Consider the following 15,768-nt stretch of genomic DNA (forward strand, 5'->3'; position numbering starts at 1 on the left):
CTTGAAATTCTTAATATCTGCATGCTTTTCCCCCAAGTTAGACTTGGTAAATATGATGGCCAAGAAAATGACTAGCAATGGCAGAAGTTCTGATATGACAAAACTGAAATGAAAAAAAATGATTAATGAACCAAACCCTTATTATAAAATTTGTATAAAAAGTTGACTCTGATGAAAATATTTTCAGCAAAATAAAATTGAAAGTAGAGAAGCTTAGAAATATTTACCCAGTGTAGATAGAGGCTTTGAAGTATTTGTGCAGTATAGAAAATTGACCAAAGAATTAAATTGACAAATAAATTAGAAGTGACTTGGGAAAAACCTTCATCAATCAGAATTCATTAATATGTGTGATAAATGCTTTATTTAAAAGTTCTGGTTAAATTACTTATATTCCTAAATACAGTATCATCTATGGGCTCCCATATCCTGCTGGCATAGCTAATCTTTTTATGATAACTTAAGACAATAATTAGGAACATCTTTTGGACAGGAATGTAGCAGATAGGACAGGGTGCTATTGAGTTTCCCAGGTCTCCACTGGCTGTTTGCTAGTACTGTTCACAGTAGTCGGTGAGAATGCCATGGTCACATTTTTCTTTTCTATGTTATGGAGTTGCAAAGTCTAATAATAAGATTGATAGGATTCCTGGGCATAGTAATAAAAAGTTGGCAGTTTAGCTGTTCTGGTAAATTTGGCTTTAGCCACTTTTCTTTGTTCTCATTTATGAAAAGAGTTGATAAATTATCATTATGAAAAGTAATCTAACATGGAGCTAAAGCTGTTTATTCTAAAAATACAATGGAGAGACTCTATAATTGTACTCACTAAATTTTATTTTATCCTTTGCTTTCCAGCAAAATTGAAGGCATAGAAAATATGTGTAATCTGCAAAAGCTTAACCTTGCAGGAAATGAAATTGAGCATATTCCAGTATGGTTAGGGAAGAAGTTAAAATCTTTGCGAGTCCTCAATTTGAAAGGCAACAAGATATCATCGGTAAGTTATTCAAAATAGCAGGAATTTTTAGACTTGTTAAAAAATAAAAGATTAAAAATATCTAAGTTTTTTAAAAATGGGATTTCTTCTTTTAAAGATTTTGCTCCTTTGACTAAACACTAGATTCAGACATAGCCCATGATTTTCTAGATTAATTAAATACAAGCAGTCCTCATTTTGCATGGGTTCCTAGGTCAACCTAGGGTTGACCTCTTAGCATTTTTACATTTATCATTTCATGTAAGCCTCATAACATTCTTGTTAAGAAGGCAGTACAAGGATTATTTTTGTAACACTATGAGTTAGGTAGTAGCAAGTAAGGTCTAGGACAGGTTAAGTCCCTTATCTAGAGTCACATTTTGTGCCAGGATCCAGATCACTGAATGCCTAGAAGAAAGTTCTGGGTTTTTTTTTTTTTGACAGTATTAACTTCCAATTTCAAATTTACCAGTTTATTTTGATTATAATGTTAGGTGTTATAGGAGGTTGATCACTAGCTTTTCATAATAGAGCAACTTTGTTATGATTTACATATTTGGATGATGTTGTATATTTTTCTCTGGAATATAGTTTATGATTTTCTTATGGTATTTATTCACAGCTAGGTATTTAATAAGCATTTGCTTAGTAAATTTGTTAATTTATTTAAATTTGTATTAAAATTGGGAAAATTGTGCCATAATTTAATGAACATCAGTTGTAGAATAGAAAATGAAAGATGTGACTTCAAAGATGGGCCTCTATAGAATTGCCTTCCATGACCTTGGAGAATTCTTTAATCCCTCTAAAACCACTGTTTGGGGAAAACAATCCCTATACTGCCTCCTTTACAGGGGTATTATGGGGGCTCAGATGAAATGATAGATGTGAAAATGCTTTAAAAAAAACTTTAAAACACTAAATAAGTCTAAAGCTATATTCTTTAAGCCTTCACCAGTGGAGGCCAATAATAATAAGCAATATTCATTTAATGCCATGTTGTTAACAATACCTATGCTTTCTAATTTCATCCTGTGACAGTCAAGAGCCTCAGAGCCCAAGCCCAACCCCATGTTGTACAGCATCACCTTGGGGCTGTTGATGCTATGGGATGATGGGAAGAGGTAGCCATAGATCTAAAATTTGCCATAAATATTCCTGAAGTAGTTGATCCTTAGATAGTGTCAACTTAGTGTCAGCTGTGCAATAGGAAAATCAATAAATATTTATTTCTAATTTTGTATGATGTCCTCACCCCATTGATATTTGACATTGGCATTATGAAGAGTGCTGCACATTCACTTGGGAGAGAAGATTTATTTGTACTAGCTATTTGGAGTACTGTTTCTCAGCCTTTTTAGGTTGAGAATAAACTATCTGAATAAACTGTCAATTATAGCACAGTTATCTGAAGATTTACCAAAATATTTTTTATAACTATTCATTTTTTTGATTTGTTAAATCAGTATAATGAAAAGACAAAGTTGAGAGTTACACAAACTTGAATTCAAATCCTGTTTCATTCACTTACAAGGCTTTGAGCTTTGGGCAAGTCGCCTAACTTCTTTGATCCTGAATTTCTTCATCTGTAAAATTAAGATGATACTTACATGATAAGTTGTTGTGAGGAGTCACAAATGAAATAGTGTATGGAAAATACCTAATACTGCCCAAATACACTATAAATACTCATATACTCCCTTTCCTGACACCACTACTTTTGGGTAATTGGCTTCATGAATAGATTCCTTGCCATGTTAAATTTCCTTGATTTGTAACTTCCTTTAAGTATGTTATGATTTTTAAATTAAATTATACCAATACTAATGTTATATCATTTCAGCTCCAAGATATAAGCAAGTTGAAACCGCTTCAAGATTTGATTTCTCTGATCCTAGTTGAAAATCCAGTTGTGACCCTTCCTCATTACCTCCAGTTTACCATTTTCCACCTCCGTTCATTGGAAAGTTTGGAAGGTCAGCCAGTAACCACTCAGGATAGACAGGAGGCTTTTGAGAGATTCAGTTTAGGTAAGATTAAATTTAAAAAATAATAAATTTGGGTGAGGGAGGAATTTATTTTCAGAAGTTATCTAGAAATATGTATCATGAACTTTATAATGCTATTAAAATGTACATGGGAAATGGCAGCATAAATCAATTCAACAAATATTTACTGAGTGTGTACTGTGCACCAGGCAACTGGATTTGGCACTAAGGATACAATGGGAAGGAAGACATATGGTGCTGCTGTCCATGCAGCTTATGTTTTGGCAGAGAAGACAGACAAAAAAAAAAACAAAAACAAAGTAACAGGGGAACCCTCTTTGTGGCATAGAGGAATGGCTTTCTGAGGGAGTGACATTTAACCCGAAAGCAAAGAGAAGAGAGGGTTAGCCATGTGAAGAATGGCAGTAAGGGGAGGGAGCAGCTTGTTCTTTGAGGCTCAAAAGACCCTGTGAGTTTAAGGAAGTGAAAGAAGATTAGAGTTAAACGTCCCTGACTGACAGCTTTGAAGAGAGTAGTGGTTCTCCCAGCACGGAGTTTGAGATCTGAGAATGGACAGACTGCCTCCTCAAGTGGGTCCCTGACCCCCGAGTAGCCTAACTGGGAGGCATCTCCCAGTAGGGGCTGGCTGATAGTGCCCCTCTGAGACGAAGCTTCCAGAGGAACAATCAGGCAGCAACATTTGCCGTTCTGCAATATATGCCGTTCTGCAGCCTCCACTGGTGATACCCAGGCAAACAGGGTCTGGAGTGGACCTCCAGCGAACTCCAACAGACCTGCAGCTCAGGGTCCTGACTGTTAGAAGGAAAACTAACAAACAGAAAGGATATCCACACCAAAACCCTATCTGTACGTCACCATCATCAAAGACCAAAGGTAGATAAAACCACAAAGATGGGGAGAAACCAGAGCAGAAAAGCTGAAAATTCTAAAAATCAGAGCGCCTGTTCTCCTCCAAAGGAATGCAGCTCCTCACCAGCAATGGAACAAAGATGGATGGAGAATGACTTTAACGAGTTGAAAGAAGAAGGCTTCAGAAGATCGGTAATAACAAACTTCTCCGAGCTAAAGGAGGATGTTTGAACCCATCGCAAAGAAAGTAAAAGCCTTGAAAAAAGATGGCACGAATGTCTAACTAGAATAAACAGCATAGAGAAGACCTTAAATGACCTGACAGAGCTGAAAACCGTGGCACGAGAACTACGTGACACATGCACAAGCTTCAGTAGCTGATTCGATCAACTGGAAGAAAGAATATCAGTGATTGAAGATCAAGTGAATGAAATGAAGCCAGAAGAGAAGTTTAGAGAAAAAAGAGTAAAAAAAAATGAACAAAGCCTCTAAGAAATATGGGACTATGTGAAAAGACCAAATCTACGATTGAATGGTGTACCTGAAAGTGACAGGGAGAATGGAACCAATTTGGAAAACACTCTTCAGGATATTATCCAGGAGAACTTCCCCAACCTAGCAAGGCAGGCCAACATTCAAATTCAGGAAATACAGAGAATGCCACGAAGATACTCCTCGAGAATAGCAACTCCAAGACACGTAATTGTCAGATTCATCAAAGTTGAAATGAAGGAAAAAATGTTAAGGGCAGGCAGAGAGAAAGGTCGGGTTACCCACAAGGGAAGCCCATCAGACTAACAGCCGATCTCTTGGCAGAAACTCTGCAAGCCAGAAGAGAGTAGGGGCCAATATTCAACATTCTTAAAGAAAATAATTTTCAACCCAGAATCTCATATCCAACCAAACTAAGCTTCATAAGTGAAGGAGAAATAAAATCCTTTACAGACAAGCAAATGCTGAGAGATTTTGTCACCACCAGGCCTGCCTTACAAGAGCTCCTGAAGGAAGCACTAAACATGGAAAGGAACAACTGGTACCAGCCACTGCAAAAACATGCCAAATTGTAAAGACCATCAATGCAAGGAAGAAACTGCATCAAGTAATGAGCAAAATAACCAGCTAACATCATAATGAAAGGACCAAATTCACACATAACAATATTAACCTTAAATGTAAATGGGCTAAATGCCCCCAATTAAAAGACGCAGACTGGCAAATTGGATAAAGAGTCAAGACCCATCTGTGTGCTGTATTCAGGAGACCCATCTCATGTGCAGAGACACACATAGGCTCAAAATAAAGGGATGGAGGAAGATCTACCAAGCAAATGGAAAGCAAAAAAAGGCAGGGGTTGCATTCCTAGTCTCTGATAAAACAGACTTTAAACCAACAAAGATCAAAAGAGACAAAGAAGGCCATTACATAATGGTAAAGGGATCAATTCAACAGGAAGAGCTAACTATCCTAAATATATATGCACCCAATACAGGAGAATCCAGATTCATAAAGCAAGTCCTTAGAGACCTACAAAGAGACTTAGACTCCCACACAATAATAATGGGAGACTTTAACACCCCCCACTGTCAATGTTAGATCCACAAGAGAGAAAGTTAACAAGGATATCCAGGAATTGAACTCAGCTCTGCACCAAGCAGACCTAATACAGAACTCTCCACCCCAAATCAACAGAACATACATTCTTCTCAGCACCACATTGCACTTATTCCAAAATTGACCACATAGTTGGAAGTAAAGCTCTCCTCAGCAAATGTAAAAGAACAGAAATTATAACAAACTGTCTCTCAGACCCCAGTGCAATCAAACTAGAACTCAGGATTAAGAAACTCACTCAAAACCGCTCAACTACATGGAAACTGAACAACCTGCTCTTGAATGACTACTGGGTACTTAATGAAATGAAGGCAGAAATAAAGATGTTCTTTGAAACCAATGAGAACAAAGACACAACATACCAGAATCTCTAGGACACGTTTAAAGCAGTGTGTAGAGGGAAATGTATAGCACTAAATGCCCACAAGAGACAGCAGAAAAGATCTAAAATCGACATCCTAACATCACAATTAAAAGAACTAGAGAAGCAAGAGCAAACACATTCAAAAGCTAGCAGAAGGCAAGATACAACTAAAATCAGAGCCAAACTGAAGGAGATAGAGCCACAAAAAACCCTTCAAAAAAATCAGTGAATCCAGGAGCTGGTTTTTTGAAAGATCAACAAAATAGGTAGACCCCTAGCAAGACTAACAAAGAAGAAAAGAGAGAAGAATCAAATAGACACAATAAAAAATGATAAAGGAGATATCACCACCAATCCCACAGAGATACAAACTATCATCAGACAATACTGTAAACACCTCTACGCAAATAAGCTAGAAAATCTAGAAGAATTGGATAAATTCCTGGACACATACACCCTCCCAAGACTAAACCAGGAAGAAGTTGAATCTCTGAATAGACCAATAACAGGCTCTGAAATTGATGCAATAATTAAGAGCCTGCCAACCCAAAAAAGTCCAGGATCAGACGGAGTCACAGCTGAATTCTACCAGAGGTACAAAGAGGAGCTGGTACCATTCCTTCTGAAACTCTTCAATGAATAGAAAAAGAGGGAATCCACCCTAACTCATTTTATGAGGCCAGCATCATCCTGACACCAAAGCCTGGCAGAGACACAACAAAAAAAGAGAATTTTAGACCAATATCCCTGATGAACATCGATGTGAAAATTCTCAATAAAATACTGGCAAACCGAATCCAGCAGCACATCAAAAAGCTTATCCACCATGATCAAGTGGGCTTCATCCCTGGCATGCAAGGCTGGTTCAACATACACAAATTGATAAACATAATCCATCGTATAAACAGAACCAAAGACAAAACCATATTATTATCTCAATAGATGGAGAAAAGGCCTTTGACAAACTTCAACAGCCCTTCATGCTAAAAACTCAATAAATTAGGTATTGATGGGATGTATCTCAAAATAATAAGAGCTATTTATGAGAAACCCACAGCCAATATCATACTGAATGGGCAAAAACTGGAAGCATTCCCTTTGAAAACTGGCACAAGACAGGGATGCCCTCTCTCACCACTCCTATTCAACATAGTGTTGGAAATTCTGGCCAGGGCAATCAGGCAGGAGAAAGAAATAAAGGATGTTCACTTAGGAAAAGAGGAAGTCAAATTGTCCCTGTTTGCAGATGACGTGATTGTATATTTAGAAAACCCCATTGTCTCAGCCCAAAATCTCCTTAAGCTGATACGCAACTTCAGCAAACTCTCAGGATACAAAATCAATGTGCAAAAATCACAAGCATTCCTATACACCAATGATAGACAGACAGAGAGCAGAATCATGAGTGAACTCCCATTCACAATTGCTTCAAAGAGAATAAAATACCTAGGAATCCAGCTTAAAAGGGATGTGAAGGACCTCTTCAAGGAGAATTACAAACCACTGCTCAACGAAATAAAAGAGGACACAAACAAATGGAGGAACATTCCATGCTCGTGGATAGGAAGAATCAATATCATGAAAATGGCCATACTGCCCAAGGTAATTTATAGATTCAATGCCATCCCCATCAAGCTACCAATGACTTTCTTCACAGAATTCGAAAAAACTACTTTAAAGTTCATATGGAACCAAAAAAGAGCCTGCATTGCCAAGACAATCCTAAGCAAAAAGAACAAAGCTGGAGGCATCACACTACCTGACTTCAAACTATACTACAAGGCTACAGTAAACAAAACAGCATGGTACTGGTACCAAAACAGAGATATAGACCAATGGAACAGAACAGAGCCCTCAGAAATAACACCACACATCTATAACCATCTGATCTTTGACAAACCTGACAAAAACAAGCAATGGGGAAGGGATTCCCTATTTAATAAATGGTGATGGGAAAACTGGCTAGCCATATGTAGAAAGCTGAAACTGGATCTCTTCCTTACACCTTATACAAAAATTAATTCAAGATGGATTAAAGACTTAAATGTCAGACCTAAAACCATAAAAACCCTAGAAGAAAACCTAGGCAATACTATTCAGGACATAGGCATGGGCAAGGACTTCATGTCTAAAACACCAAAAGCAATGGCAACAAAAGCCAAAATTGACAGATGGGATCTAATTAAACTAAAGAGCTTCTGCACAGCAAAAGAAACTACCATCAGAGTGAACAGGCAACCTACAGAATGGGAGAAAATTTTTGCAATGCACCCATCTGACAAAGGGCTAATATCCAGAATCTACAAAGAACTTAAATTTACAAGAAAAAAAGCAGCCCCATCAAAAAGTGGGCGAAGGATATGAACAGACACATCTCAAAAGAAGACATTTATGAAAAAATGCTCATCATCACTGGCCATCAGAGAAATGCAAATCAAAACCACAATGAGATACCATCTCACACCAGTTAGAATGGCAATCATTAAAAAGCCAGGAAACAACAGGTGCTGGAGAGGATGTGGAGAAATAGGAACACTTTTACACTGTTGGTGGGAGTGTAAACTAGTTCAACCTTTGTGGAAGACTGTGTGTGATTCCTCAAGGATCTAGAACTAGAAATACCATTTGACCCAGCCATCCCATTACTGGGTATATACCCAAAGGATTGTAAATCATGCCACTATAAAGACACACGCACACATATGTTTATTGCGGCACTATTCACAATAGCGAAGACTTGGAACCAACCTGAATGTCCATCAATGATAGACTGGATTAAGAAAATGTGGCACATATACACCATGGAATACTATGCAGCCATAAAAAAGGATGAGTTCATGTCCTTTGTAGGGACATGGTTGAAGCTGGAAACCATCATTCTTTGCAAACTGTCACAAGGACAGAAAACCAAACACCGCATGTTCTCACTCATAGGTGGGAACTGAACAATGAGAACACTTGGACACAGGGTGGGTAACACCACACACTGGGGCCTGTCATGGGGTGGGGCTAGAGGGGAGGGATAGCATTAGGAGAAATACCTAATGTAAATGACGAGTTAATGGGTGCAGCACACCAACATGGCACGTGTATACATATGTAACCTGCACGTTGTGCACATGTACCCTAGAACTTAAAGTATAATTAAAAAAAAGAAAAGTAAAAATAAATAAAACTATCCAAAAAGAAAAGAAAAAAAGAAAATCAGATAGACTGGAGGACAGCTCAATAAAAAGTGTGTAGACATAAGTAGGTGTGAGATGGCACAGGGCCTTGGAATTTTGATTTTATTTCAGGTGCATTGGAAAGCCACTGGCAATTTTTTTTTTTTTTTTTTTTTTTTGAGACAGAGTTTCGCTCTTGTTGGCCAGGCTGGAGTGCAATGGTGCGATCTCAGCTCACTGCAATCTCCGCCTCCCAGGTTCAAGTGGTTCTCCTGTCTCAGCCTTCCAAGTAACTGGGATTACAGGCATGCACCACCACACCAGGCTAATTTTGTATTTTTAGTAGAGACGGGGTTTGTCTGATTTCTCTTACGGGGTCAGGCTGGTCTTGAACTCCCAACCGCAGGTGATCCGCCTGCCTCGGCCTCCCAAAGTGCTGGCATTACAGGCGTGAGCCACCATGCCCGGCTGCCATTGACAGTTTTTTAAAAAGCAGCAATAGGACATCATTTTTGATACAGAGAATGATTTGGAGCAGGGAAAATGGAGATGAAGGGACCTGTTAGGAGGCTAGCGTAGCAATCTAGGCTGGAGTCTATGCCATACCATCTGAATACATTCACAAGATCTTGAAAGCTAAGCAGAGTCAGCCCTGGTTAACACTTGGATAGGAGTGATCCAGGTTGGAAACGTTTATGGCCTGTAGTTAACATGCTGGATGTGGAAATGAAAGATAGATGGATCAGTTTTGAAGGTAGAAGCAGCAGCATTTTCTAATGGATTGGATAATTCCCAGGCTTTTGGCTCAAGTAAGTAAGTGGCTAGATGGTGATATCATTTATAAAAATGAAGAATTCAGAGTTTTATTTAGGACATATTCAGTTTGAAATGTCTGTGAGACAACTAAGTGGAGGTGGCATAGAGTCAGAAATGTGAGTCTGGAATTTAAAGAGATCTGGACTAGTCATACAAATTTTATGCTCAGTCACATCAGCATAAAAATGACATTAAATTGCATGGGAATCAGCTCACTCAGGCAGTGGTTGGGAGACGAAAGAAAAGCAGTCCGCTAAGGAAGCTGAGAAAGAGAGGCCAGCAAGGTAGGAGAAAACCAGGAAATAGTGGGAAATAGCCCAGAGAAGTTTTCAAGAGAGGAAGTGGTCAACTCTGTTGAATGTTGCTGAGATATGAAGTGAGAAGCAGAGAAGTGCTTTAGATTGGCAACAGGTGATAATGATCTTGACAGGAGTAGTTAAGGAATAGTGGGGACAGATGCTAGATTATAATGGCTTGAAGAGTGAATAGGAGAGAGACATTTGGCTGGAGATTTGAAATTTTTTCCCATAATGTCTCTTGTAGTACTTAATAAATCATTTTTTTAAAAAGATCAAAAATTAAAACTGAAAAATTCACCAGTGGCTTCCAGACCAGGAAATGGGCAGAAACAACAAATGCAGTAAACTTCAAAGCCAGAAAACAAAAAAACAAATGAACAGAATATTCAAAAGTGGAGTGGAGGCCGGGTGTAGCTGTTCACACCTGTAATCCCAGCACTTTGGGAGGCCGAGGCAGATGGATCACTTGAGGTCAGGAGTTTGAGACCAGCCTGGCTAACATGGCAAAACCCCATCTCTACTAAAAATACAAAAATTAGCTGGGTGTGGTTTTGGGCGCCTGTAATCTCAGCTATTTGGGAAGCTGAGAGAAGAGAATCACTTGAACCTGGTAGACGGAGGCTGCAGTGAGCCGAGGTCATCCCACTCCACTTCAGCCTGGGCGACAGAGCGAGACTCCGTCCAAAAAAAAAAAAAAAAAACCTAAAAGCAAAGTGGAGAAACAAGACATGGCTCAATTCTTTTGGTTCTGGAGAAGACATGAGAATGAGATTAGAGAAAAAAAGGAAAAATCCCTTGGTAGGAGTGACACTTTCTCCTTCAGAAAGGAGCAAAGATATGTGCAGGTGTGGGTAGTTTTGTTGCTGTGGTGGTGGGAAAATAGGGAGTTCTTATTGATGGGGTCATTTTCTTAATTAAAGGTGAGATAATCAGGTGAGAGAGAAAATAGAAGAAAGTGTATGGGAAGTTTGAGAAGAAAGAGGAAGGTATCAAATAGCCAATTTAGAGTGTTGGGAAATGAGCCTGTCTGTTCATTTGAAATTAGTTTTAGTCTGTTTTGACCTCCAAAAATGGCAATTTCATATGGTTTGATCCAACTTGAGAAACATGGCAAGTTTTTATTAGTTTGGAATCTCCCTAACTCAATATTTATTATTCTGAAGTTTATGTTTTGGAATCATTAAAAATATTAATAATGCAAAGGAAAGTCATCTAGATAACTTTTGGGTGAAATGGTTAGACTACTTATGGTTCCTTCATGCCTTCAGATATTAATTAGGAGACTTTAATGTGCTAGGCTATTAGATCTAGTCTAGGTGAGCCAGGTAGATGTAGTTTCTGCTTTTGTGACGCTTTAGTGGGGAAAGGCAGACAGCTAAGCTATTTGATCACATTTTACTACTCCCTGTGTGACAAGGGCCAAGCAGAATTTCAGGGTAGCATGGGAGTATACCTCAGAATCATCTAACCTGGTGACAGGATAGGGCCTGGGCAGGCTTCTCAAAATTTTTTTTTAAAACTTAAGACCTGTAGGATGCAAAATAGCCCAGTAGGAGGTAGAGGAAGACAGTTCTAGGGAAAGTGTGTGAATAAAAGCCTATAGGTGAGAAGAGGCATCACAAATCTGAAGAAATGGGATAACTTTAAGAAAGCTGCAGTAGAGTATGCTTGAAGATGAGGCAGAAGAGGGAGGTTGAGTCCAAATTATGAAGAACTTTATCAGCTTTTCGCAAGCCTTTTGGATCTTATCCTAAGAGTAACAGGAAGCTGTTGAAGGATTTTAAGATAATACAGAATTTTGCAAACATGTTTGCAGCATCCTTTTAAATGTAATTACTAATGTCTGATAAAATATTGCATGTTTTTCAAAGGTCACCTAGAAAAGAACTCATTTATCAGCACACTAATTGGATTAAATACTTGGAAGTAAAGTATTATCTTTTAAAAATATCATTGAAATGATGCCTTCTTGCCTCAATTTCAAGATCAGGATAGTCTTTTTTTCCAAAACCATGGTGGCTAATTTTAAAAGTAGAATTGTATTTACAATATTTTTAGACTTTTTTCACTATTGTTTGAGAAATATTCTTACCTTTTTAAAAATAGGAAATATAATGATAAATAAACTATTAAATTTTCATTGGCAGAAGAGGTAGAAAGACTGGAAAGAGACCTAGAAAAAAAGATGATAGAAACTGAAGAGCTTAAGAGCAAACAAACAAGGTTCCTTGAGGAAATTAAAAATCAAGATAAATTGAATAAATCATTAAAAGAGGAGGCCATGTTACAGAAACAGAGCTGTGAGGAACTCAAGAGTGACTTAAACACAAAAAATGAATTGGTAAGTTCATATTTTACATTGCTTTGGCTGTATTCTCATAAGACAGATAATTCTTTGCCCTTGGGTCTAAAAATACAACTTCCTGACCATATAATGGGGAAGATGTGGTTTAACAGAAATATGTGGAAAGGCTTATGAATTGTAGTTGACTGTGTGCTAGATGATATGGCTTCCCAAAAGACTAATGCTGTCTTGAGCTGCATTATGTACTCCTAGATATTTGTATTTTTTAAAAACAACATTGTAGGTGAGGCTGTTCATTGGCAAAAACATTTAGAAGGCGATCTGGCAAAATTATCCAAAATTTTGTGAGTTATAGGTCTTTTTGGACATGGAATCCATCTTTTATTACTAAGATAAAATATAATATCTTTATGCTGATTCCCTGGTGCACGTTACTCAGCCCATTGAAAACCTTGGCAAAATGTCAGACCTTAAGACTTTCCACTATCCCAAAACTATGAACTGTAGTTGCCTAGTTTTCTCTTTTGCTTATTTATAATGTTATTGATATGTTTGTGCTGTCAATAAATGTTTTGTAAACTGTCAGAAGTTTTTGCTTTTTTTTTCTATACCTATTTTTGTTAGAAGTCAGACTGTGCTCTTCTCTATGTCATTATGTTATTTTTATCATTAACCATTTAAAAACATGTTTATGCCAGGCGCCATCGCTCATGCCTTTAATCCCAACACTTTGGGATGCTGAGGTGCAAGGATCACTTGAGGTCAGAAATTCAACATCAGCCTGGGCAACATAATGAGACCCTGTCTCTACAAAAATAAAAATAAAATAAAAACACATTTATATACAAAATTAATGTATGTTCATTGTAACAAATTTAGACAACACAACTGTATTTAGCAGAAATGAAAGTCCACTCTTCCCTACCCCATTCCCCAGATATTAATACTTTGTTTTCCATGCTTCTTATACAGTATACATGTAATTACATAATGTATATATAATTAAGCATGTTATACCTTTGAATATTTTTGTAATGAAAAAAGGAATGTTACTGTATACAGTTATTCCTCTGTATCTGTGGGGGATTGGTTCCAGGACACCCCCATGGATACCAAAATCCATGGATGCTCAAGTCCTTTATGTAAAATGGTGTAGTATTTGCAAGTGACTTTCGTACATCCTCTAGTATACTTTAAAATCATTGCTAGATTACTTATAATACCTAAGACATTGTCAATGCTAATAAATATTATATTGTTTAGGAAATAATAATTAAGAAAAAATATCTGTACATGTTCAATACAGATGCAACCATCCTTTTAAAAAAATATTTTTAATCCGTGGTTGGTTGAATCCACAGATGCAGAACTCAGATATGGAGAGTAGACTGTATATTATTATTCAGCATCTTAACTTTCACAAAACAGCATACGTGGACAACTCTCCAAGTTAAAAAATATGTGTACATGCATGTATAAAGCCTTCTTACTCTTTTTAAAGTCTATGTTGTGTTCCATTAAATGTATTCTTCATAATTTAGTTAGCCTATTCCTATTGATGGATATTTAGGTTGCTTTCACAATTTTTGCTATTAGAGACAGTACTACAGAGAAAATCTGTGTGTGTGTGTGTGTCTATATATACCTTATGCATTCATACTAGTATTTCTTTAGCATAAACCACTAGAAGTGGAATTACCGTGTAATTTGCATTTAAAATTTTGATAAGTGTTAATGTACACTTCAAAAAGCTTCTAACCAATTTATATTTCAGAAGGGAAGAAAATACCCAATTTCCAACTAGGTACTATTATTTTGAATTTGTACATATGGTAGAAAAAAATGGAATCTTGTTTTAATTTTGAATTTTTATAGTTGTTGGACAGTTGAGTATTGCATATATATTTATTGGCTATTTTGTATTTCCTCTTTAAATTGCCAGTTCATATTGGTTTTGCCTATTATCTGTTAGTCCCAAGGACTATTAGATGCCTAAAATAATTCTGGGTCTTATTCTAAGAGCTTATATTTGAAAAACATTTTTATTATCTTTTGCAGAATATCTAATGATAATATCATCTGTGATTATGTGAAGTTTTCCATTTTAAAAAAGTAGTTGCTTGTGCATTAGGCCAATTAATGTATAAAAGAAAAGTAGCACTGAAGTAAGTCTTCTGGTGGCCATTTAAACCGTAGTAGTCCTGTCCTGCCACCAACAAATATTAACCAAATTTACTCTTTGTCCTTTTGCAAATTATTTAATTCCTGTGCTTCAGTTTAGTTATATTTAAAATGAGGATTATTTACCTGTCCTGCTAGCCTCACAGAATTGTGAGGATTTAATGAGCTAATAATGAAAATAATTTGAAATGAATCAAGCTAAGTAATGGAAGGTAGTAAATCTATAACTCAGAATGACAATAAAATACATCCATGTAAGAATAATGCCAATACTAAAAGCCATGTCTTCCTATGGTAAGTTGTCAGTAAAGAGCAACTTGTATTATTACAGTTTAACTCTCCAAGTGACGGTATCTGTTTGCTTCTTCTTTTAGCCCTTGTCTTGGTTTCTTGCAGGCCCTTTTCTGCTGATTCTTTATTCTTCCTTAAAGGTAGTTCTTCCAGGCCTGAACTGTGTTTTTCAGGGTTTGCATGATAACTTGCATTAATATGCTTGCTTACATTTTAAGTTTTGAAACTGGCTTGTCTTCTTGGGAAATGTGGTTGTGTGCGTATGTATTATTTTTTTTTAATGGATGTTTATATAGGAGAGCAAATTTGAATGTGGGGGAAAGAATTATTTTTCTGATTGGTAAATATGTTACCTTCAGTCAACTCTTGATTATCCAAAGCTAATACTGTGACTAGCCTACTTTCCAGTTCATTTGACATCTATTTTGCTTTTATTCATGCATTTCTTCAACAGATATTTATTGAGTGCTTACAATATGCTAAGCCTGGGGCTTATAAAAGTCACAAAAGTACTTTGAAATGCACAGCCTATTTATTATTATTTGCCTGCAGAGACCAGTTCATGTATTCTCTGTGATTCCAGTCACATTTGCCTGTTGTTTGCCACTATTGCCAATGAGTTTTGAGGAGAGAACCCAAGATTAGTTGACAGTGTTGATTGTGAGTTGCTTTCTTGAGACTCGGAGACTTATGATCATTCAGTGAAAATATCAATGTGGGTAATGTGCTGGACACCCTGCAGCAGTACATCGAAGGCAGCATGGAAGAATAGGCAGTATTGGATTTGAAATCAGGAGACTTGGAATTGAATTCTGCCTCTTCCACTACCAGCTGTGAAATTGGGCAAGTTATTTAACTTCTCTGTGCAGCTTTTATCATCTTATTGGGTGGTTGTGAAGA

General features: G+C 37.1%; 1 protein-coding gene across 41 annotated transcripts in view; it reads left to right on the forward strand.

The window, feature by feature from the left end:
• Nucleotides 1-15,768, forward strand: part of CNTRL (centriolin) — a 102,656-nt gene that overhangs the window by 20,609 nt on the left and 66,279 nt on the right. For 25 of the 41 annotated variants that reach the window (XM_011518166.3, NM_007018.6, XM_006716940.4 and 22 more), the window contains 3 exons: nucleotides 859-1,000; nucleotides 2,823-3,009; nucleotides 12,239-12,432. In XM_011518166.3, coding sequence (XP_011516468.1) covers nucleotides 859-1,000; nucleotides 2,823-3,009; nucleotides 12,239-12,432 — 523 coding nt within the window. Of the gene's footprint in view, nucleotides 1-858; nucleotides 1,001-2,822; nucleotides 3,010-12,238; nucleotides 12,982-14,951; nucleotides 15,009-15,768 lie in introns of those variants that run through there. The other 16 variants (XM_047422667.1, XM_047422671.1, XM_047422669.1 and 13 more) reach the window with 2 other exon arrangements.

Source organism: Homo sapiens, chromosome 9, assembly GCF_000001405.40.
Source record: "Homo sapiens chromosome 9, GRCh38.p14 Primary Assembly".
NCBI classification, from domain to species: Eukaryota; Metazoa; Chordata; class Mammalia; order Primates; family Hominidae; genus Homo; species Homo sapiens.